The following is a 25,483-nucleotide window of genomic DNA, read 5'->3' on the forward strand; positions in this document are numbered from 1 at the left end:
CTTTTGGGGAATTTAAACTTCAACAACAATGACATACTGTATTTTCCACAGTATAGGCGGTGTGTCCACCATGGTAGCCACCAAATTGCTCCTAGCAAGGAAGTGACCCGGTGTCTGTCTGCTCCTTAGATTAAAGAGGAAAAGGCTTCTGTAATACGTAGTCTGTCTTTGCTGGCAAAGATCACCTAGCCCTACTGAAAGTATGGGGGTTGGAAGCACAATTCTTCAAGACTTCTTCAAATAGAAGAAATGTCAATATTTAGTACTTAAACATTAAAAAGTACGTCTTTCTTGAAATGCTCTAAATATCACTCACCTTTGTAAACAAGTCTATATATTGTGCACGTGATTTAGAGAATGGGCTTAAATGCTCAAACAGACATGGATCCACATTATTAATTATGTAATATAAGCTGTTGTTCTCAGATGTTAGCAAGCATTAGAATCAGGCTGGAGAGCGTTTTCAGACACAGATTGCTATCATGTTCATTCCTAGGGTTCCTGGACCACATCTCAGTAGACTCGAGGTGGGTCAGGGAATTTGTATCTCTAACAAGTACACAGGAGCAGGAGGTGGTACTGATGCTACTCATTGGAGGAACACATGTGGAGAATCGCCAATCTAAAGTTCCATTCCTAGCCCTGCTGTGCCTCAGTTTCTTCACCAGTTACTTGAGAGTACTAACACCTACCACCCAGAGTTGTTGTGATTAAATAAATGAGATAATGCATTTAAATCTCTTAACACAATGCCTGGCTCCTACTGTAATATGCTCTCAATCCATGCTAGCTATTACTACTGTTTAATTCTATGGACCCTGGAGAGATCAGAAAATGAAGACAATGAATGGCATGATATATTTGCCTTTGGTTGCCTCTCTGAATTTTCTGCTTTTACCTTTAAGTAGACTAAACTCCTGTTTTCACTTCTGAGTTAGAAAGATGTAGTTCTTCAATGATGCTAAATCCACATTTAGTTTGGCAATGTGAATTGTTCATGTGGTTTTATATTCCACATTTGTTTCTCATTCTGTTCAGTAAAATATTCATGATTTTGGTTGGCTGTAAGATGTCCCAGGATGAGCGAGGGAAAAGAACCGTGCACAGTTCTACCTTGTAAGATACTTCAGGGACAAATTTCCTTCTACAAACACAAACTTGGGCTGCACACAGAGATAATGCTACCATTCTTGGACTTTTCTACATTTTTAAGTAATTTACTATAGTTGGTTGTTAAGCTGTCTCCTGGTGAGTATGTTCCTTAGAAGACGTAAGATGAGAAACTCAACTCTTTCACTGGTTTTGGAACAGAGCTAAGTTGGTTTAACACTAATGACTGTACCTGTATTCTTTCTGACAGGATTGTTGGGTTCTTATGTAAATGAGTATATGTTGTTGGTGCCTTTGTACAGAAAGAAAAGAAACAGACTGAGATCTAAAAAATAGCAATAAATGAACCAAACCTACACATCTAGGGTTAAAAAGCACTAATGTTTATAAAGAAGCAGGTATTCTATTTGTTGTTGTTCTTGTTGTTGTGATAACCACAATGGAAGACCAGACTCATGAGAGATAGGAATGCTTTTGGTAGAAAATTCTGAGCTAGCATGGATGAAACCCATGCACTAATATATAATAATATAGGTCCCAGGTGCAGCAGCTTATAGCCACGTCTCCTGGATTAAAGCAATCAAAGCTCATCCTGCGATGTTGCATATTCAGCAACATGCAAAATTACTACCATCACCCATGACACCAAATAATAGAAGTCTTCATCACATATGGGCTTCTGAAGGGACTTATCTGAAGTCAACTTCCAAGTTAAGATCCCTTGGGGAAGATTCTTATGTTATCAATTTCTTTGTCTATTTTTTTGAATGGTGTCTCCTCCACTCAGGGAAATGACTTCAGACTGCAAGGAGGTAGAACAAACATCATTAAGGCAGGATTGAAGTTCACCACTGAGTTGAGGATTGTAACGGTGAGGCTTGCCACTTTACATAAGCCTAAGTGTCCAGATGAAAGCTATGTTGGGGGACTACAGATGTGTTTCTTCTTTGATGGCAATCTTTGTGATTCCTGGATAAATGAAAACATTTCAGAAGTTAGAAATAAGTGAAATGTCCTACATTCAAAAGCAGACAGGGAAAGATACATTTCATATAGACACATGTTTATACTATATATATATTTATTTATATATATACACACACACATAAGTGTATTCATAAGTACATAAGTATATCTATATACATATATACATGTATTCATATAGACACACATGCACTGCAGACACTATAGATACTCTACACCATGGCTGTAGGACAAATTACTGACTAGAGCCTTACGACTTGGGAAGTAAAGTGGTATCATTGGTAGTCATCTTGGGCATACCAGAAATTAAGTAATGACAAACTAATCTCATAGCATTTCTGATACTATACTGTTAAGATCAGTGAAGCAACACAGAATTGTGTTTTTATTTTAGCAAGGTTTCTAGGCATACTGCAGACATATGGGCTGGAGGGAATCATAATTGGTTGCAGGAGAATGCGACAGGGGTACTTGTTTTGCAACGTGCTGAACTCCCCATTGTTGAATACATGCTGAATGAGAACCAGGAAAGTCTATTTCTCTTCCTGCACAATGAGCTTATGGGCTGAAAGTTCCATGAAGTAAGGTTCTTAACTCAGGTACTAGAGTATCCGCTCAACAAAGAGGTATTTGATAAATGAACAAATGTCAAAATTTAAGAAGTGATTGTTACAGCCATTTTCTAACATCCAGATCTCTATTCTTAAATAGCTTCGATTTCTACTGAGTTAGGACGTGTTTGCTTAAGAAACACGTCCTAACAATAAGAAAATTGCTAGTTTCTGGGCCGGGAGCGGTGGCTCACGCCTGTAATCCCAGCACTTTGGGAGGCCGAGGCGGGCGGATCATGAGGTCAGAAGATCGAGACCATCCTGGCTAACACGCTGAAACCCCGTCTCTACTAAAAAGAAAAAAATAAGCCGGGCGTGGTGGCGGGCACCTGTAGTCCCAGCTACTCGGGAGGCTGAGGCAGGAGAATGGCGTGAACCCGGGAGGCGGAGCTTGCAGTGAGCCGAGATCGCGCCACTGCACTCCAGCCTGGGCAACAGAGTGAGACTCCGTCTCAAAAAAAAAAAAAAAAAATTGCTAGTTCCTTTGTTTTCTATTCTGTTATCTGTGTTATCTGTATAACTTTCCCTCTGATGAAAAATAAATAGAAGTACTGTTGGGAAAATACTTAAAACTGTGAATGGTTTTTATAACATGGATTTGAATCAAAGTTAAGATATTTGCAAACCCAGTCGCCAGAATAATTTTACTACTAATTAAAGCAATAATCCCTATTCTACGTTGCACAAAAATTAAACTGCACAAGTTTCTTCTTGCATTTGCCAAACTGTAAATAGATTAACCCATTCTTTCAGCCTTCTAAAGAATTGACTAAATTAAAATAATATTGAATTTTAGTAAGTACCCTTCAGATACCTCATTTTGCCAATACAGATTTGACAGAACAAAATGCTGTCATGACTGAAGAAATATTTTTCACTGCTTATTCATCAATTCAGATAAAATGATGTCATACAAAGTCAAAGTTCAGAAAAACACAGATATACCCCCATTATTCCCATACTGTTTCCTTCTATGCTTTCATCTATAATTTTAACGGAATTAAATGTTTAATTAGTGCCTACTACATACCAGAATATTGGCTTAAGTGCATTCACATATATTATCTGATTCAATTCTCGTAACAAATACGCAAAATAGTAATTATTTTTCCTAATTTACAAATGAGGAAACAAAGGTTCTGAGGGGCTGTAACTTCCCAACACTGCATAGCTAGAGAAGTGTAGAAACAGAACCCTCTTCTAATGCTGACACATCCTTTCACCATTGCTTTTTTCTCCATCATCTACCAACTGTTGACCCTAGGAGGTAATGAGTAGTTGGTCATTCTGATTCTCAACTCAAAGGATAAATTAATGAATGGACACAAAATTTCTTTTTTTTCTTTTTAATATGACCCATACTGCCTCCAGAAGGATACATGAGTTCAATGTAAAGACTTCAGGAGAATTTTTTCAGTGATTTGGAATCAAAATAAGACTATCAATAAACATACAATTGATAGCTGATATTTACTGAATATTTACCATGTTTCAGACACCGTCACCTGTGCTTCATATGCATTTTCTCTTTTATTTCTCAAACAGCAAAACTGAACTTTATCAGCTGGGTATAATTTTCATCTCTACTTCACAGAAGAAATTGAGGCACAGAGGGATTGAGTAACTTGCACTAATCATACTGTTACATAGTAAAGCCTGGGTTTGTGTCCAGCCACTGAAACTCTAGAACAGTGGTTGTCAACTGGGCCTATTTTGTCCCCAGGGGGTATTTGGCAATATTTGGAAACCTGTTTGGTTGTCATAAGTGAGGGGCAACACTGGCATCTAGTGGATAGAGGCCAAGGATGTTTAAAATACACAGAACAGCTCCAGAGAAAAAAAGAATTATCCAGCCCAAAATATCAATGACAAGCATAAGAAACCCTGCTCTAGAACCTGCCTTTTGGCATTTCTCTGTACTTCTGTACTACTGAATTTGGGCAAAATCATGGAAATAATGTATACAGCGTCTCACATTACTGATGATTAATTCTCAGCTGCTTTTAATCTCACGACACTTTCTCATGACAATATTGATTATAATACATTGCAACAGCAGATTTTACTGTACCTCATAAAGATCTTGGTATCTTCTGTAAAATAAAAATGCCTGGTTTCACTTCCCAAAATTTCGTGCTAAATTAGTCTGATGTAAATCTCTTGGGAATCAGATATTTTTTAAAAAGCTCCCCAAGTGATTTTAACATGCAGCCAAGTTTTGAGAAACATGTAGAGAAAAATAACAGAGATTTTTGTAGAGAAAAATAACAGAGATTTTTAAAGTATGGAACACTTTCTATTCTCCACTAAAATAGTATCCTAGTAATGGTTCAAAGTTATTGAATGTTTATTATGTGCCCAGGGCTGGACTGAATGCTTTGCAGGAATTATCTCACTTTAAATTCTTCAAATATTCTCTATGCAAAATTAAATTAAATTAATACCTAAACTCCTAATACCATCATCTTGAGGGTAAGAATTTGAACATATTAATTTGGGGGAGACACACACATTCAGACCACAGCATCACCATTTTACAGATGATGAAACTGAAACATCTGAAAATTAACTTATCCAGACTACACAGTTAGTGAGTAACAGAGCTGTTTATTAAATGTAGCTCTTTCTGACTAGAAAACCCATGGTGTAAACCAGCAGTTCTGAAACATGAGCATGCCTCAGAACCATCCAGAAAGCTAGTGAACACATAGATTGTTGAGCTCAGCCCCCAGAGTCTCTGATTCAGTAGGTCTGGAATGGTATCTAAGAATCTACATGTTTAACAAGTTCCCAGTGATGCCGCTGACTTTGCTGGTCTGGGGACTACACTTTTCAAGAACCTCCGTGGGATGGTTTCTATAAAATCAAGCTATTTTTAATGACATTTCTTCTATTTGAGGGGATTTATCCCTCATTTCCCCCTGAATCTTGGCAGCTGTGGGTGGTTGGAGAACTTTTCTGTCCCCCTAGCATAATGTCTTCTGATACTAGGGACGGTTGTAAGCACTACGTTAGTGTGAAAAGTGCATAATAGCTGCTGCCTACTGTGAGATGGGGTCAAGGGAGAGCTACCCAGGGGAGAAATCAACTCCCCCTTGCCTCTAAAGCTAAGCTCCCTTAACCAGAGAAAATGAAATCTACCAACAGGACAGAAACAGACCTAAACCATTGGGACAACAATTCAAAGTGACAATTAAATGCCAGATCAAGGGGATGAAGGGACAGGTTGTATATTAAGGGAAAACAGGAAATGAAGAGAAGATTTTTGTTTCAACTTCCTTGTTCCTACACTTAGAACCAACTATGATTAAATAAAGAACAAAAAGAGGCAAGTGTTTTTCTTTTTAAACTATCTCTCATCCCCACTAAACATCAGCAAGCAAGGAAGCAAACATATCCCAAAGATGAGCCATCGATGTAAAACACAAGTTAGGGGAAATCATGAGAGTAGGCGGTGAGACTCCTATATGGTCCCCCAGTGTTGAGTCAAGCAACTAGTGTGTATTCACCCATTGATCAACTCCATTCTTGGTTTATTTGTTTGTTTGTTTGTTTTTGAGATGGAGTTTCGCTATTATTGCCCAGGCTGAAGTGCAATGGCAATCTTGGCTCACCGCAACCTCCACCTCCCAGGCTCAAGCGATTCTCCTGCCTGAGCCTCCTGAGGAGCTGAGATTATAGGCACCCACCACCCTGCCTGGCTAACTTTTTTGTATTTTTAGTAGAGACAATGTTTCACCATATTGGCCAGGCTGGTCTTGAACTCCTGACCTCAGGTGATCCACCCACCTCGGCCTCCCAAAGTGCTGGGATTACAGGCATGAGCCACCATGCCCAGCCAACTCCATTCATTTTACTGAATCCTTATGTTAGACACTGGGAGACACACAAAGAGAGGGTTTTATGCCTAAGGAGCTTATAGTCAAGGTGAAAGAGAAGCATATAAACAGGATTATTGAAGAGTACCAGGACCAAATGAGTGGTGGGGACATAGGATCCCAGGGTAAGCAGAAATTACTGTGGGTAAATGGTCAGGGGACACTTTGCAAACGTGGTGGGAGTTGAGCTGGGTCTTCAAAATTAGGTTAGGTGTGGGTAATTGGAGCAGAGTGGAGAGAGGCTGTCAGGAAGTTCAAGGAGGAGATAGAGGTGGCATTAAAAGGCAGAGAAGTGAGGCATTTGGGATGGCTCAGGTGAATGGATGGCTTTGACCTAGGATCACAGGTGAGTGCCTGAAGACAGAGCTGGCCCGGGTTGTAGAAAGGTAGGCCAAGGAGGAGCTTGGGTTTGTTTTGTGGAACCTAGAGGGCTGAAAAGTTTTTGATAAGGAAGGTGATGTGATAAAACTGAAACTTTATAGACATACTAGCCATCCTCCTTCTTTCCTGAACACACGCTAGATCCACCCCTCGTATCTGAGCTCCTGTCTCCAACTCTGCCCTTTGTTTCTAGGCGACAAGCATACTCTGTGCTATTAATTCTCCTTTGATTCTCTTTTGTACCCATTTCCTGGTTGCGAGAGCGGGAGCTGGATTTTTATCAAGGCTCAGTAGACATAAAGATGTATAAGTTTCTACCCCTAATACTTGGCTTTTAGCACCCTATGAATGGTGCCTATTAATTTCATTTACTCAGGTTAATATTTAATAACCTTGAAGTAGTTCACAGGGAACAATTCTGTCTACAATTTGAACTATAACACATCAGATATTTGGTATCCCCCAGATCGATTTGCTTTCTGACAAAAAAAAAGAAGTTCTTAAATGGTTTTCTTACTTATCCTCATTACCTACAGATCTTCTAAGTTAGAATTTTATTTCTTGTAAAATACAGAAAAATAACAATTACAATGAAAACAATCAAATCGGATTAAATCCACAGGATTTAAATACACACTGGACTGTGAGCTTCATCACATTTATTTCCAAGTACAAATGGTAGTAATTACTTATGAATTAATTAATAAATATTGAAAGAATGAATGATAACCAGAGTCAACAGCCAAAATGCATATCTCCACGATGAACAAAGGCATGAAGATTCATATTGAACTATGTTTACTGAATTCCCAGTGTGTTTCAGACACAATATTAAGCACTTTCACATTTACTCCTTTTATGACTTAATGAGTGTTACAATCTGATTTCAGACATGAGTAGCCTGAGGTACAAATAGTTAAGTAATTTACCCAAGAAGTGACAACCAGATGTGTTAACTCAAAGCCCAAGGTTCTTTGCTAAAGTTTTTACCAAATGTATCTAATCATAACAAATACCTAAGTGCTTATGACTATAGGTTCCCAGACCCCTCCTCAGATTCTGACTCAGTAGTTGCTGGGGTTAGGAATCTATGCCATATGTCTCCGGTGATTCTGAGGACCATTCCAAGGGTCTTCAGTCCCTGCTGCCCGTTAGAATTACTTTAGAAGTGTTTAAAATTCCAGATGCCTTGGCCCCCCACCAAACAAATCAATGAAAGTAAGAAGGAAATCCCTGGACATCAATATTTTTAAGCTCTCTGGGTTATTCCAATGGGCATCCACAGCTGAGAACCACTAAGTTCGGCTCTACCATGCCAAAAATAATCTTGAATGGATTTCCCAGCCTCCTCTCCACCCCTTGCCTTTCTCCCCATCAAAAAGCAGTTCTACTACAATGTAAGCCAGGGAAAAGTGGAGATGTTTAAGAGAAGACAGGAATAAAAGGAGGATTAACAAACCATTTGCTTTCTGTTCCTGTGTTAATTCACTTCGGATAATGGCATCCAGCTGCATTTACGTTGCTTTAAAGGTCATGATTTTATTATTTTTATGGCTGTGTAGTATTTCATGGTATATGTGTACCATATTTTATTTATTCAAGCCACCATTGGTGGGCATCTGGGCTGATTGCATGTTTTTGCTATTGTGAATAAAGCTGTGATGAACACATGGGTGCATGTGTCTTTGGTAGAATGATTTGTTTTCCTTTGGGTATATACCCAATAATGGGATTGCTGGGTTGAATGACAGTACTGTTTGAAGTTGAGAAATATCCACCTGCTTTCCACAGTGGCTGAACTAATTTACACTCCACCAACTTATATGGTTGCGTGTGCATAGACTTGTTCTGAAAAAGAAGCAAGGAAATATCAGTGGGTAACTCAGTGGGGTAGTACGGAGGGCTGAGGGTTGGGCTAACACAAAGAGATTAAAATTTCCCCTTTATACCTTTGTGTATGTTATGATTTGTTTAATATTCAAATATCACTTTTTTAAATTAAAAGACAACCTCTTTTTTTTAAAAAAAAGCCATTTGTCATAATAGTGTATTGTATTTTCTACTAAATGAGTAGATTATAGTTGCTCTTGGCACAAGGAGGAATGGGTAATTATGTGAGATGATGGATATGTTAATTTATTCCACTATAGTAACCATTTTACTATGTACAATACATGTGTCCTAGAACATCATGTTGTATATTTTAAATATACATAATAAAATTTATTTTTAAAAAAATAAGAAAAGGTTTGTGATAAGTGATTAGTGGAAAGAAATCAAGAGCTTTCAAAGGTGGTAGGGGATGAGAAGAGCAAAGAGAAAGATCTGAGATTCATCATGCAAGCAACTGAGCAACTCTAAGTAAAGTTAAATAAAGCTAATACATATGTAGGCATTTTGCTTTCATATAAAGAACATATTTTGTTCCCATGGAAGTTAACGCAATTTTTACCTATTCATATATTTATCCTTCCTAGCAAGGATCAGAAATTTCTGTCTTTGTTTCTTCATCATTCTTACAAGTGGGAGCACCAGGGCACACTGGGGAAATGAAGTCACTTTAGACTTCAGGTGTGGGGCCCGGTGAGGTCACCTGGTGTTAAGTCTCTACACTGGTGCTCAGGCTCTCTTGCTGCTGCTGCTCCTGTTAGGTGTGCATATTTTCTTAGACTATAAACTGCTCCTCTGCTGTATTAACTACTTCATAGACAACTGTAATCCAATATTTGACAGAATAGGAACATGGTAATACCTTGATGCGATCTTTCATCCAAAATAATTTGAGACAAACTAATTCTGAAGAAAATTTATGTTGTACTTTTATAGTCACAGGGATAACTTTTGTTACATGCCATATGCATATCGAATCTGTTTCCAAAAGGATGAAAACAAAGGGGAATTTAAGTGCAGAAATTATATGTATCTATATAATTTGGGGGTGGGAACATCTTGAAGTTGCTGATTGCTATTAAGCAAATGCTGCATTCTTTAGCGAATAAGTAGCATCAAAAAGAAAAACCAATATTCTCCCTCCCACCTTCTGCGCCTGAGCCAGCCTTTCACCCTTACTTAATGAAATGGAGCCGTTGATGCCTTTAACTCCTCTTTCATTTAATCTCATTAATGCAGCCTGTTGGGATTGAAGTTGTGGGTTAACGCAGGGGCAGTCTTCAGACCTCCCCAGTGAAAAGTATCATATTTTTCAGTTAGACTTTTAATTGCTACGTCAAAATGTGTGAGAACCAGCTCAAAACTAAAGCTGACGCCACTGGTGAGTTTTACATTTTCTTCTCTCTTCTGACATTTAGCTGTATGGACCATCCTCCAGGCAAGGAAGTAAGCATTTATAAGCTCTCAGCAAAATAAATTGATAGCTAGGTGTGGGGACAAAAAAATATTTTCTGACTCAGGAATGTATATAATAAAACAAGTCACTCAGGCTTAATTTTACACTGGAGAAGATATTTATATATAAATACTGTCATATCCTGGAGTGAACTACCAAATGCATAAGTTTCAAGATTAAATTCAAGTCGTTATCCACCACATTATACTAACATTAGGTTAATCATATGAACATCCTTCTCACAGTTTTGTAGCTTTGATTTTGGTCATCAGCATTGCTATCATGTTGATTTTATTTTTCTAAGTTTAAAAAAAATCTATTTGATTTATATATATGATACCAGATGCTTTATCATATGTAAAAAATATATTTTCAAACATAATAGCTATTTGGTTGAATGATTATTAACTATGAGGTGAATTACATTTGAGTTTTTCTCCTAAATTTTTTACAAGTTAGTGCATAATTCTCTAGACACACATTATCTCATAATATAGGCAAATTTGGAGCACTTGTTTTAAGAATATTTCAGGGTAAAATGATTTATTGTAATTTCCTTGCTAGTACTAGATAGCAATGCACAACAGTTGGAAATATTAAAATGAAAATTGATATAATTGTTTCAAATAATATAAACACTGCATTGTTCAAAAAAGTTCCTGATCAAACTAAACTCCTTTAAATATATAAACTCAGAATCACATCTTTCCACAATGCTTATAGCTTCCTGGTGCTTGTATTTGTAGGAAAAAAAGTAGATACTGTTTCTGTGCAATTACCAATTTCAAAATATATGCATTTAAAGATTTTATTGGTGAAATAAGCTATTACCAGCAGATTGCATTTCTGACATCAATGGAGTCTTTAAGTAACTATCCTTGCTACTGACAGATTTACTCAGGATATTGTTGCTGCTGTTGTTCAGAAATTAATAACACTAGACATACTAACGTCTATGTACTTAATCCTCTTTGGGTCTGAATCACAATAAGCAGGGGCTCACAGGTGAACAGAAATGTTTCTTTCTCCTCTGATTTTGTGTTTAAAAAACATGAAGTTACCTTCTACTGTAAAATTACATAAAACATAGTGGCCGATTTTAGGGGTTTATGTGCACATACACACACACACACAGACACACACACAATTCACTTTTTAAATGAACTATATGAACAAATGTGTTTTTACATTTTGCAAAGAGAACCAGATATTTCTCTTTCTCCACTTAAATTTTAGTGGAATTAAAATGAATATCCCAAATTAAAGCTGTAGCTTTAAAAAAAAAAAAGTTCCTACGGTAGAATACCTGGTGCTAGGCTTAGTAATTCCTAGTTTTCAGTAATGTCTTTCTCGTCTAATATTCCCACCACCCGCTCCCCCCGCAAAAAAACTCTGCCTCTTTAGAAGTAATTCAAATGTCTAAAAAATGGAAAAGAAATTTTTTGTACCAATTCAATTTACATGGTAGCATCAAAATGCCTTTGCTACAAATTAACGTATAAGAAACACAGCTAACAAATGGAACAACCGTAAGTATCTCCATTCAAATATTACTATAGATCTCCAAAAGATCATTAGATTGTTCTACTTGTAAAAAAGCAATTTGAAAGATGGAAATTTGTTAAAGTGAAATTTGAAAATTATAATGTTATTTCTCACTACTTTTTGTGGCAATTATACAGAGTGATGTTGTCTCTGGGAATAAGGGACAGTCGACATGTTCATACAACAACTTCACCAGCTTACATAAACACCGAATAAAGCTGTTAGGGATTAGGTGCAGCATGCTGGATCTGATGCGCTCAAATATAAGATATCTCGGGTCCCATAATATTTAGGATTATGCTGGTAATCTCTTTAGAGAAAGTGTGCAGTATCAGCAGAACAGGCGCTTCAGTCTTTGAGGGAGCTATTCACTAATTCTACATTTGTTGGGTGACTAAGCCTCCACCTCAGTCCCACACTGACACCGGGCCTTTGTGACATTTCGCTTAGGGTGAAATTATAAGAGGGAGCTTCTAGAGTGACGTTCTAAATTATCATTTTGCTCCTGAAGCAATTTCTGGTGTGGTGTGCAAATGAGAATACTTTCCTTTAAATTCTGTATGTCTCCTTTTCAAAAAGGCCACCTGGGTAAAGACAAACTAAACTCAAACATGCCTTTCTCTAACCTCTAAAGTCATTCTTATCTCTAGAGATGAAATAAGAACTAAAATTATCTCTTTAATTCTATAATTTCCTTTTATTTCAAGATTCAATTCTGAAGCAATGGAGGCTAAATTGCAAATTTGCTGGAACATAAATTATATAACAACGTAATTTTCAGTGCAGAAATTGACAATATATTTAGTCATTGTAGCATCATCTATGTTCAAAAAAATCAAAGCTCTTGTAGATAATCCAATCACACACAGACGCACACACACACACGCACACACACGCGCATGCTATAAATACCTCACCTATATTCTATAGTTTGTGTATGTAAGTATTTGGGGCATCAGTGGCTAAAGGCACATTAAAAATCAAAAGTGTCTGCAAACGTGAAAAAGGGACAAATAACAATACAGGCAAATTGTTAAGATGTTATGAACCAGTTAAAGTTACTATTAGATTAGGAAGAGAAATGTTAGTAGAATACTAACATTCTAATCTTACATGGACATTGTCTCAGTGTGGGGTGATAGTCCACTCACATACCTCATGAGAAGATATGATGTCACTTTTATTTTACCAGGTTTCTTTTTTCTAAAACAAAGACATTGAAATTGGTTCTGATCACTATATTTTAGAACATAGCCTCCTTCTTTTCTCTGCCGTCCTGGCTCGTCTCTTTTTTTAACACACTCAAGAGATTTAGTCTTTCTTTGCCACCAACCAGAAAAAGACATGTTTTACTTATTTTCAAACTCTCTGAACAAGTGCTGAGAACTTCAGGAATGGTCTCTACTGCGTCTATCAATGAACAGAATGAGAAACAGCGTGTATGCTTTCTACACCAAACTTTAGTCACTTGACTTTTGCTCGTGTGTGTGTGTATATGTGTGTGTGTGTATATTGTGGGGGGTGGAAGGCCAAAGGTTATTGTCCCAACCTTTGATTTGTCTGACTCCAAGTAGATAATTTAATGGCTTTATATTTATATTTAACAAGCATGCATTGAATCCTTGGTCTTTTCAAGTATTCTGGAAAATAATGCAATATAGGAATTAGTGAATAATACTTGGTTGAACTATATGAAATTGGCAATATTAACATTTTTTGCACAAAAAGGTGGCAATTTCATATGATTCGACTTGATATATGGTTAGTGACTACAGATTAAGGCATGATTGATAATTCTGGAAGCATTCTGCTACTAGTTACTTTTCATTTAACCCCATTAACTAAGTCTCCAAAATAAACAAGTAATCTGGAATTTTGTTCTTGTTATTAGATTTTCCTTTTTCACTCTTCAACCACCAACTTTAAGATTGCCCTTTCCCATTGCTATTTACTACTTGAAACTTGCTCACTTTCCAAGACCTGGCTCAAAAGGCACCTCAGCACCAAACCTTCCCAGCTTCCCCCAGTTCATATTAACATCGTCTTCTTCCAGGTTTATTTAGCAGTCACCTGTCTGCCCTGCATTCAGGTGATGTAAACATGTGTGGCTGTAGAATTATAGTATTCATTGTGAAGACAGAAACTTGGTTTTGCACATAACTGTGACCTAAAATAAGTAGATGTTGGCTGAGTTGTTTTTCTTATTTTTTGAGTTGGAGTCTTACTCTGTCGCCCAGGCTGGAGTGCAGTGGCGCGATCTTGGCTCACTGCAACCTCTGCCTCCCAGGTTCAAGCGATTCTCCTGCCTCAGCCTCCTGAGTAGCTGGGATTACAGGTGTGCACCACCATGCCCAGCTAATTTTTGTATTTTTAGTAGAGACAGGGTTTCACCATGTTGGTCAGGCTGGTTTCATACTCCTGACCTCATGATCTGCCCACCTCAGCCTCCCAAAGTGCTGGAATTACAGGAGTTGGTTGTTCTTAGCATGAAGGGCTGTTGAATTTTGTCGAAGACCTTTTCTGCATCTATTGAGATAATCATGTGGTTTTTGTCTTTGGTTCTGTTTATATGCTGGATTACACTTATTGATTTGTGTATGCTGAACCAGCCTTGCATCCCAGGGATGAAGCCAACTTGATCATGGTGGATAAGCTTTTTGATGTGCTGCTGGATTCGGTTTGCCAGTATTTTATTGAGGATTTTTGCATCGATGTTCGTCAGGGATATTGGTCTAAAATTCTCTTTTTTTTGCTGTGTCTCTGCCAGGCTTTGGTATCAGGATGATGCTGGCCTCATAAAATGAGTTAGGGAGGATTTCCTCTTTTTCTATTGATTGGAGTAGTTTCAGAAGGAATGGTACCAGCTCCTTTTTGTACCTCTGGTAGAATTCAGCTGTGAATCCGTCTGGTCCTGGACTTTTTTTGGTTGGGAGGCTATTAATTACGGCCTCAATTTCAGAGCCTGTTATTGGTCTATTCAGGAATTCAACTTCTTCCTGGTTTAGTCTTGGGAGGGTGTATGTGTCGAGGAATTTATCCATTTCTTCTAGATGTTCTAGTTTATTTGCGTAGAGGTGTTTATAGTATTCTCTGATGGTAGTTTGCATTTCTGTGGGATCGGTGGTGATATCCATTTTATCATTTTTTATTGTGTCTATTTGATTCTTCTCTCTTTTCTTCTTTATTAGTCTTGCTAGCAGTCTATCGATTTTGTTGATCTTTTCAAAAAAACCAGCTCCTGGATTCACTGATTTTTTTGAAGGGTTTTTTTGTGTCTCTATTTCCTTCAGTTCTGCTCTGATTTTAGTTATTTCTTGCCTTCTGCTAGCTTTTGAATGTGTTTGCTCTTGCTTCTCTAGTTCTTTTAATTGTGATGTTAGGATGTCAATTTTAGATCTTTCCTGCTTTCTCTTGTGGGCATTTAGTGCTATAAATTTCCCTCTACACACTGCTTTAAATGTGTCCTAGAGATTCTGGTATGTTGTGTCTTTGTTCTCATTGGTTTCAAAGAACATCTTTATTTCTGCCTTCATTTCGTTATGTACCCAGTAGTCATTCAGGAGCAGGTTGTTCAGTTTCCATGTAGTTGAGCAGTGGGAGTTGGTTGTTCTTAAAGTACTCCTTACTTGTCTTTGCTGGACCCTCTCAGATGCTCCTCACTATCTCCAGCAAAAGAAGCACCTCTGTGCAATTCACTTTTTTGAAAAATTAATAAACATTTTTAGCACCACTTTAGATTTACAAAATAATTGAGCAAATAGTACATAGAGTTCTGTGCACTCACCAACCCCCCAGACACAATTTCCTCTATTGTTATTTTGCATAAGTATGGCATACTTGTTACAATTATAAACCAATACTGATACATTATTATTAACCATTTATTCTTTGTGTTGTACTATTCTATAGGTTTTGACAAATCTGTAATGATGTGTATCTGTCATTACAGTATTGTACAGAATAGTTTCACTTCCCTAACAATTCCCTGCCCTTCACCCCTTCATCCTCTTCCTCCACTCCAAACCCATGGCAACTAATGATTTTTTTAATTATCTTTGTAGTTTTGCCCTTTGAAAAATATTATGTAGCTGGAATCAAACTGTCTTGTTTCACTCAGTAATATCCATTTAAGTTTCCAACATATATTTTCGTGGCTTAATAGCTCTTTTTATATTGCCAAATAATATTTCAAAGCACAAATGTACCACAGTTGGTTTGTCTGTTCACCTGTTGAAGGACATCTTAATTGTTTCCAGTTTTGGGTAATTATGAATGAAGTTGCCATAAATATTTGTGTGCACGTTGTCATGTGGACGTAAGTTTTCAGTTCAATGGTAAATACCTAGGCACACAATTGTTAGGTGGTTTGGTAAGACTATGGGTAGCTTTGTAAGAAACTGTCAAACTGCCTTCCAAAGTGGGTGTACCATTTTGCATTCCTAGCAGCAATAAGCAAACATTCCATTTGTTCTGTATCCTCTCCAGCATTTGGTATTATCAGTTTTTTAAGTAGGTTTATAGTGGCACCTCATTGCTTTTAATTTGCAATTCCTTAATGACATATGATATTCAGCATCTTTTCATATGCTTATTTTCCATTCATAAATCTTCTTTGGTTAAGTGTCTATTCAGATATTTTGCCACTTTTTGAATTTTAAGAGCACTTTGTATATTTTGGATTCAAGTACTTTATTACATACATGTTTCACAATATTTTCTCTCAGTCCTGACGTCTCTCCATTCTCTTAATGCAATTTGATTTTTAACATAGAAAAGTTGTATTTTTTTTTCATTTTCTGAAACGATATATTTTGCTCTTTTTGAATTATTCTCCAAGGAATAAACTCTGCCTGGTCATTCTAAATTATCTCTGGGACCTGGTTTTGTGGTGTGCCCCATCCCTGTCCTTCAGTGAAGGTGATGCTGTGTAATCACGAGCTTCCTGTTGAAGGTTTAAACTAAATGTAGGCTAGAGAAAGGGGTTTAGAAAAAAAATAAGGAACTAAAGAGAGACGAGTTTTATTTACTGAAGCAAATAATTCTGTTTCTTCTTTTCATAACTGGATAAAATGAGCTATCAAGTAGAGTACATGTCTTCATATAGAGAGCGAGAAATAAATAAAGTTCTCTTCACAGAGAGGAGAGGTTTGGGAATGGAGATCCTGAGGGGTAAATTATAGAATGTATTGCTTTCCTCTTTTTTAGAACCTCTGAAATGTTATCGTGTATATGAATCACAGAGATGCTGTTACAACCCAGATTTTTTTTTTTTTTTTTTTTTTTTTGAGACAGAGTCTCGGTCTGTCGCCCAGGCCGGAGTGCAGTGATGCGATCTCAGCTCACTGCAACCTCCACCTCCCGAGTTCAAGCGATTCTCCTGCCCTAGCCTCCCGAGTAGCTGGGACTACAGGTGCGCACCACCACACCCAGCTAATTTTTGTATTTTTAGTAGAGACAGGGTTTCACCATGTTGGCCAGGATGGTCTCGATCTCTTAACCTGGTAATCCACCCGCCTCAGCCTCCCAACATGCTGGGATTACAGGCATGAGCCACCGTGCCCAGCCACAACCCAGATTCTTATAGGCCCAGGGTAGGAGCAAAATGCTGCATGTCTATCAGGCACCCAGGGAAGGCCAATGCTACTGGTCAGGGACCACACTTTGAGTCAGCAAGTCTCAGGACAGCACACAACAGATGAGAGGAATGCCATAAATATCCATCATGACCATTGAACTCCGTGTTAACTAATCTGCCTCAATGAGACAGGACAGCTTTTCACATGTTGGATTTCCAGAACTACTGTGAATAGCCAAAATGAGTTCATTGCTGGTTTCAAAAAACTGCTTGATCTCCCTTACCTTTATCAAAAGAAGTACCATTCAATTTTTAAAATAGAAAAACTGTATGGTTTTTAACTGTTTCAAGAAAGCCTTTGTCAGTACTGAGTATCCAAGGAGCAAGCTAGTAGCCACAACCGCAAGAGTGAGTGTACAGAAGAGGGAGGTGCCATTACCAAACATTGCTAGAATGCGGAGAAAATGTGGGTGCAGGTAACAATCATTAAATCTGCAAAGGAAGCCTGGTACACTGGGTGTTAATTACAGTAACGCAAGATATTTCTGGAATATGCTGTGTTCTCTTTTTTCTGCCTTGTCAATTAGTGGCCAGAGTTTTCTCTCTCTTTTTTTTTTTTTATTTTCTTCTAATCTTTCAATTATCCTACTGCCTTTATAATCCAAAGGAAATGCCTAAAAGGCAAAAGCAGAGACCACTTTTCCAGAATCCAGGGAAATTTAAAATTCCATCAGTTCTTACAGTTGCTAAAACTGTGGCTACCTGGACATCACAGAACAGTGCTTCTCAAACTCGAATGCTAGCCTCAGGATCTCATTCTAAAGCAAATTCTGATTCAGCTGGTCTTGAGTGAGTCGTGGTAGTCTGCAGTTTTACCATGATCCCCGGAGATGCCAATGCCACTGTTCTGTGGACCACACCTTGAGTGGTCGAAAAGACATTCACTCAACCTGAATAACGTCGGGTCCCACGCACAAGTTATCCCATTATAATTAAAATGTTGACAGGAAAAGATGAATTTAATGGGAATTAATTCCTAAAGTATGAGTTCAAAGCCGCTACAACTTATAAAGTGATTTACTTTGTTTACAAGGGGAATATTTAACTTATCAGTATTTTCTCTTAATGATTATACTAATTGCTGTCGTTATTTGTTGGTCTCATGTTCTGTTGTTTCAGTCCTCTGGGGAGTGAGCAAACACTTCAGGGGTAAATGTTCATATGTAAGATAAATCAGCCTCTATTGTGATAATCCTACACATGATGCCTTTGAAAATGATCTTCTTTTGTCATTATCATATGGTAGTAATTTTTTTCTTAATCTAACTTTCGATGATAAATGGTATAGGGAATTAAAATAATATAAAGCCAAATGTATCTTTAAGTTATTTAGGAGCTATCAGCCATTGGAACAGAAAACTCACACAGCCCACCACCCAGAGTATTACAGAGAAGACCCCAGATGCTGATAGACGTGAGAGTGTTATAGTAGAAATTAGAGTGCACTGAATTTCATGCACCATATTGTATATTTAGACAGGAAGCTGATGTTGAGATGCACTCTGCACTGATGAGATACACATGGGCACAATCCAATAACAGGAATCTTTTAGAATCACCACCTTCTAGCATGGTATAGCGGCCGAAGTTCAAGACTTTTATATTTGTCCTCTGAGGATCTTATTTTTCCAAGATCCTATCCCATCCCAACCTTGGGGCTACTGTCTGATGAATCACAGTTACAGTGGAACTGGTTCCCAGAGATACCTGCTGCATCACAGACCTTTGGCTTTGTTATTAGGTGACATCAGAATATTTTGTACCTAATAGAGATAGATACTTATCAGTCTGCCAGTGAGAGAGGGAAAGAGTACAAACAGAGATTTTTAACTTGGATTTGTCGCAGATGGTAGATGAGATACAATTTGGGTAGATGAGATACAACTTGGGCTACTGAGACCATCTGCAAAAGGATTTTTAACCAAAATAGTCATCTTTATTGGAAATTTCTACATGTGTAAATTGTGCTTTACTCAGACATTAAGAGATTTAATTGCACTGCCCACTTTTAGCATAACTGTACAATTATGGGAAACAGAAGCTAACAGGTGAATCCAATGTCCTAGAATGTAGTCTGTGTCTAGGAATACAGTGTCTGGTGTCCAGGAATCATAGCCGGGTCAGATGTCCTTAAGGCAAAAAAAAAAGAAAGAGAGCAGAAAACAAAGATGCTACAAGTATAGCCCCAAACCAAAAGTGAGAAAACATAGAGAGAATTCCTGGTGACTCTTTAAAATGTTCAGATCTGGCCTGTCCCTGGGTTTTTCCACCTTCGCAGGTGATTTATGTGGTAGAGAAAATTCCTAGCTAATAACTTAACTCATTTAATTGCCAATGGGTGTCTCATCATATACAAGAATCACTTGGGGGCCTTTTCCAAAATATATATCCCCCACAATCTCTGGTTCATTCTCTTTATCCCAAATATGAAAAATCAGACCCAGCATGGTGGCTCATGCCTGTAATTCCAGCCCTTTGGGAGGGCAAGGCAAGCGGATCACTTGGGGCCAGAAGTTAGAGACCAGCCTGGACAACATAGCAAGAGTCTGTCCCTACAAAAAATGTAAAAATTAGCCAGGCATGGTGGTGCACACCCACAGTCCCAGATACTCAGGAGGCTGAGATGGGAGTATCCCCTGAGTCTGGGGGTTTGAGGCTGCAGTGAGCTACAATAACACTGCACTCCAGCCTAGATGACAAAGTGAGACCCTGTCTCAAAAAACATTAATATTGCTTATTGCCTCTTTTATAAGAAGGAGTATATCAAATCTCGTGGTTGTACTGAAATAAATAAAACACTTAGAACCACTACTTTAAGGAGTTATAAAAATTCTCCTTTAGACACCATAGAAAACAAAGTATGATCTTGTCCCTCTCTTCAATGGATTTAAAATGCCCAGAATATAGGAATGGCCAAGTTGAATTGTAAGAGTTGGAAGGGTGAGAATTGAGAGCCATAAGAACAAACACAGTAAAAATGTTACCTCCAACCAGAACGTACGTGAAAAGTCTGTTATTATTACCATTCTTAATGTATGCTTTTAAGAGTTAAGGTATTTTGTTGAATCAATGTGATGCATTTTCTAGTTAACTCATTAGCTGGATTAGTTTATATAATCTTAACACCTGCTGTTACTAGCGGAGGTTCTGAGGGGGCAGAACTAAAAATGTGTGTGTTTTGACATGCAGGAAGAAGTGAAAACATGGTAGTTTTGTGCAAAGTTGTGGCAGGGAACTCTAAACAAAGAAGGGGTTTTCAGGGGGAGCTTGGGGGAGAGAATTGCCATCTTCAAAGAGGGAGAGAAATTTTGTTTATTCCATAATTGTTGAATAGGATCTGCCTGCCAGATCACTAGATAGTAAACTAATTGTACTTCATCATTTGTTCTAATATAAAGTAAAGCAGCAAATTATTTTAAATCTTTCATGACACTCTTTGACACTGTCATAATATTGTTTCAAAAAAGATAAAATTATATAGCATTGATTTTATAAACAAAAATATTAATTAATACATAACATTTTAACTATAGTCTCCACAAAGGATTACCAATAGAAAAATATAAGTGAAATGAATATCTAAGAAATTGAAAAAATGAAAAATGAATAAACCTCACTCAAGCCATCTCTCAGGGCATTTCAGTTCCTCTAAGTTTGTCTCTTGGGGAATACTATTGTTGAATAAATCCATGAGTCAAGCAAAATACAAAGGTCAAACTCTTTCCTCAGTTTCCTTCTATAACCTTCATTGTAACAGCTGGTGAGGTCCAAACAGCCAAATCCTCCCAAGATGTTCAGTTGGAAACCGTAGTCAACAGCATGTCACTAGATCTGTATTCACTGCAAGACAATTCCACAAGAGCCTATGCCTGTTATAGTGGCAAGATATTGAGAAATGGCAGGCATTGGAGAAATAATGGGATTTGTTGTTCTAATCAGTTTGTGAAATGCTGTCTGGAAGATGTGCTTTATAAAACACATAGTATAGACCGGGCATGGTGGCTCACACCTGTAATCCCAGCACTTTGGGAGGCCAAAGCAGGCTGATCACAAAGTCAGGAGATCGAGACCATCCTGGCCAACATGGTGAAACCCCGTCTCTACTAAAAATACAAAAATTAGCTGGGCATGGTGGCACACACCGGTAGTCCCAGCTGCTGGGGAGGCTGAGGTGGGAGAATCGCTTGAGCAGGGGAGGCGGAGGTTGCAGTGAGCTGAGATCGCGCCACTCCACTCCAGCCTGGCAACAGAGCAAGACTCCATCTCAAAAAAAAAAAAAAAGTATAAACTATAAAGCTGCAGCTCAGAAGCAGTTTATTTCCTTACATGAGAGAAAATGAAAAGAATTAGTATTTTAAATGACTTAAATTTACCTTTACCTATCATAAACCTCGGATGATTTATTATATTGCAATAAGTTAAAATGGTCACAGATTTCCAAACTGATAACCCCTTTCCACACACAGCTATACACATATACCATTTTAAGTGACTTATTTCTCTTTAAAAATGTTGTTAAGATGTTTATAGTTCTTCAGGATTACATGTTGAGTCTGGATTATAAATATGTATAAATATGCAGATGCTCTATCAAATGTTCCTTATCTCATTTGTATTTCCAAAGTTGTGTAAGATAACCTCTGTGGCTTTCAAAAACATCTTGTCACACCCCAGGGGGCAAATTATCTCTATTTTCATTTCCTTTAAAGTTAGATCATTTTATAATTAAGAACTTATAGAAGCAGATTCTCCCCACGTGTAAGCTACTCCCTGGGGAGTAATTTATGCAAAGAGAACCTTTGACTTAATATTATATAAGCTAAAAACTATACAATGGATAACTGAGATTTTTAGTCAATTTTGTAATCGTTATAAACAATCCAACATTTGAAAGGTTATTGCTAAAAAAAAAAACCATAGTACAAATGACTTGCTGTGTCATTTATTAGATTATTTTTAAATGAAAAGATCTTTGATAAAGGAATAATAATGTGGCTTGTCATATTTTGTGTCCAAAAGTTTTAGAAAACCAGTTAACAATAATGATTGATGTGATGATGATGATAATGAAGACTAACATTTCCTAGCTCTTCAGCATTTTACAAGGTGCTTCTACATAAAATATCTGTTTGAACCTCACAAATCTATGAAGTTTGTCAGTTAAGCTTTATAAACTAGAAAGCATAAGATCAGATATTTTATCTTGGCCGTGGCTCCAATCATTAACAGACTAAGGACTGGAGTCCAGAAGGACAGAATAGAATAACATCAAATCTCATATTTTTCTCCTACCACAAAATCTTGAAAACAAATACTAGCTCGTGTAATCTAAAAGCTAAAATAAAAAGAAATGAATAGAAATGTATACTTAGTCTCATAAGTATTTTAGAGGTGACTTTGTCTCTTCTGTTTTTTTATCATTAGCTCTTTAGCTGGAGCTATTGGAGTAATATAGGAATTTAAAACTGTAATCTTATTTTGTCTGTGTGGAAGTCAGAGAATGGTTACTGAATGAAGTATCAGGATATTTAGCTAATTTCTGGTTGTCAATTCCCAAATCACCTCAAAAGCAGAACTTAACCTGGATCCTCAATTTTTTCACATGAAAAATAGGCACACAACACTGAGGTTTTTTGCTTACAAAGATGATTTGAAATTTCTGTGAAATATTTACTTTTTTAAAAATTCAATGTACTGCCCTAAAGCTAAGTATTGTCTTTTTTAAAAAATGTAAAATAAGAAAAAGAGGGCAATGTCTTGCATTTATTTGTTTTGTATATGCAAGAGTGAGAAACTGTAGAAAAGCATCCAAGTGGCAGATTGATATACAACGCATTTTGAAGTATATTTTGCATAATTATTTTAAATTGTAAGAGGAAATAGCAGATCTTCTAGTGTGTATAATTTTAACAACTCTTAGAATACTATCAGACATAGGAATCACTACATTCTAAATAAATTTTGTCTCATGGATCCATCCATAACCTGTGTGCTGATTATTTAAAATCATCTTACCAAGAGGTTCTATATACAGGACTTTACACCAAATTGCACACATAGAAAATAGAAATCCCATGCCCCACCATATTCCACCAAAGTAACTGCCTTACCAACAACCCCATTTCTGTCCAACTTACTACCTTATCTCAGCCTCTTGGCTAGGAAACTAGGAGTCACCTTTGACTCTTCGTTTCCATGTCGGTTCCCTTTTTTAATCATATAATCTAGCTTCTGCCTTTGAACCATCTTTCTATTTACATCTTCCTCTCCATTTATCCTACCACTTATGTAATAAGCCATGTTTTTATCTCCTAACACCCAAGTTGGAAGTAATCTTTAGTTGGTCTTCTGCTTGTTTATGGGTAGCCTGCCAAACTCACCTTTCTAAGGTGAGTTACTTTGATCGTTTCTTTACCCTGTTCACTTCGTTGATTCCTTATGGCCAGTGAGATCAGATGAAAACCTCTCTGCCTAACCCCAGGAACTCCATAATCTGGCATCAACCCTCTAGCCAATCATCTGACCTAAATTTACATTATAGCCAAGTTATTGTCTCAATGATCACAATCCACAATCATCCCAGGCCTCCAATCTTTTTTCATTTCCCTTCTGCCAACAGAAATGCCCTTTGCCTTTCCCTTCGTCCTAATTAAATCCTGCACGATCTTCAGAATCAACAAAAATGCCTTCATCTCCAATGAAACTATTTCAGTTTGTATTGAATTCATATTTGGTACCCTCATAATTTATCCTGATTTCTCCATGTATTAATTTCATTAATTAGATTATTAGCATCATTAGCATATGTTATCCTCCATCAATATCCTTTATTATTTTAGAGAACATATACAGCATGCTCAGTAAATATTGGACTGATTTATTATTGACATTTTTGTAAGTAAACATCCAGCCACACAATGTATAAAGCTACCATGCACTGCTCCCTCCCAGAGTTTTGCTTTATTTATGTATTTATTTTAAATATCACTGAGGTAAGGCCATGTGAAAGATCTCAGTAACTTAATGTTTCAAGTGCAAAATAAGAAAAGAAAAGCCGTGGGTTCAAAGGCTTTTTGAGTCCCACTACTTTTAAGGTCAAATTCACAAAGGAGAAAACAGTGAATGCAAGACTTTGGAAAACTGGTTTCTGGTTGTATTTTTTTAGTTTGAGAAAAACGAAGCAAACTGTGGCAGAGAAATGTACTTTGACTTAGAAGAAGCTTAGGACAGCCATGCAAATACTAATGGATGACTCCCACACCACCGCTCACACCCCAGTATTTTCAAATACAAACATCAAGGCAGAGATAGATGGGGAGAGAGATAGGAAGAGTGAAAGGAGAAAGAAAACATCTGTATGCTCAAAATGTCTGTTTTCTCCTTTCAGCACAAATTGAAGTGATACCATGCAAAATTTGTGGCGATAAGTCCTCTGGGATCCACTACGGAGTCATCACATGTGAAGGCTGCAAGGTATGGGACTTTCATACAGCACGGTTCTGTATTTGCCTCAGGCATCTGTGTACCTCACAAGATGCGGTGACACGTTTTTAAGGAAGGCTGGCTAAAGGATCCTTCTGCCTGCTGCTGACATTCAGGAATTCTTGCGTGGTGGGTGGGAGGGTTGATTTTCTGGTCTTTTGCCTTTTACCTTTTTGTTATTGTCTAACTGGTCAGCAGCTCTTTAAAAATGGATGCGTATTTAAAACCTTGGGTTATTCACATTTACAGAGATACAAACACTGACTCTTGCTGTTTTAGCAGTATTGTCTCCAGTAAATTCCAAGGCACTTATTACTATATGAAAAAACTAAAGGTTAAAATAAAGATTATAAACTAATAGGTATATATTTAACTTTCTGCTTGAGAAAGAGGAAGTCAAGGTAACAGCTACAATATGCATATGGCCATCCTTTATTCTCAAGTTACAGGAAAAAAAAAGAAAAGAAAAGAAAAGAAAACTGGAAGCATGGTATGTTAGAAGCCGAAAAGA

General features: G+C 37.4%; 1 protein-coding gene across 2 annotated transcripts in view; it reads left to right on the plus strand.

The window, feature by feature from the left end:
* RORB (RAR related orphan receptor B) overlaps nt 1-25,483 on the plus strand; it is a 195,843-nt gene that overhangs the window by 108,070 nt on the left and 62,290 nt on the right. Inside the window, exons 1-2 of one of the 2 annotated variants that reach the window (NM_001365023.1) lie at nt 10,130-10,235; nt 24,878-24,963. In NM_001365023.1, the coding sequence (NP_001351952.1) occupies nt 10,196-10,235; nt 24,878-24,963 (126 nt within the window). In that variant the 5' untranslated portion in view covers nt 10,130-10,195. Of the gene's footprint in view, nt 1-10,129; nt 10,236-24,877; nt 24,964-25,483 lie in introns of those variants that run through there. The other variant, NM_006914.4, reaches the window with a different exon arrangement.

Source organism: Homo sapiens, chromosome 9, assembly GCF_000001405.40.
Source record: "Homo sapiens chromosome 9, GRCh38.p14 Primary Assembly".
Taxonomy (NCBI): Eukaryota; Metazoa; Chordata; class Mammalia; order Primates; family Hominidae; genus Homo; species Homo sapiens.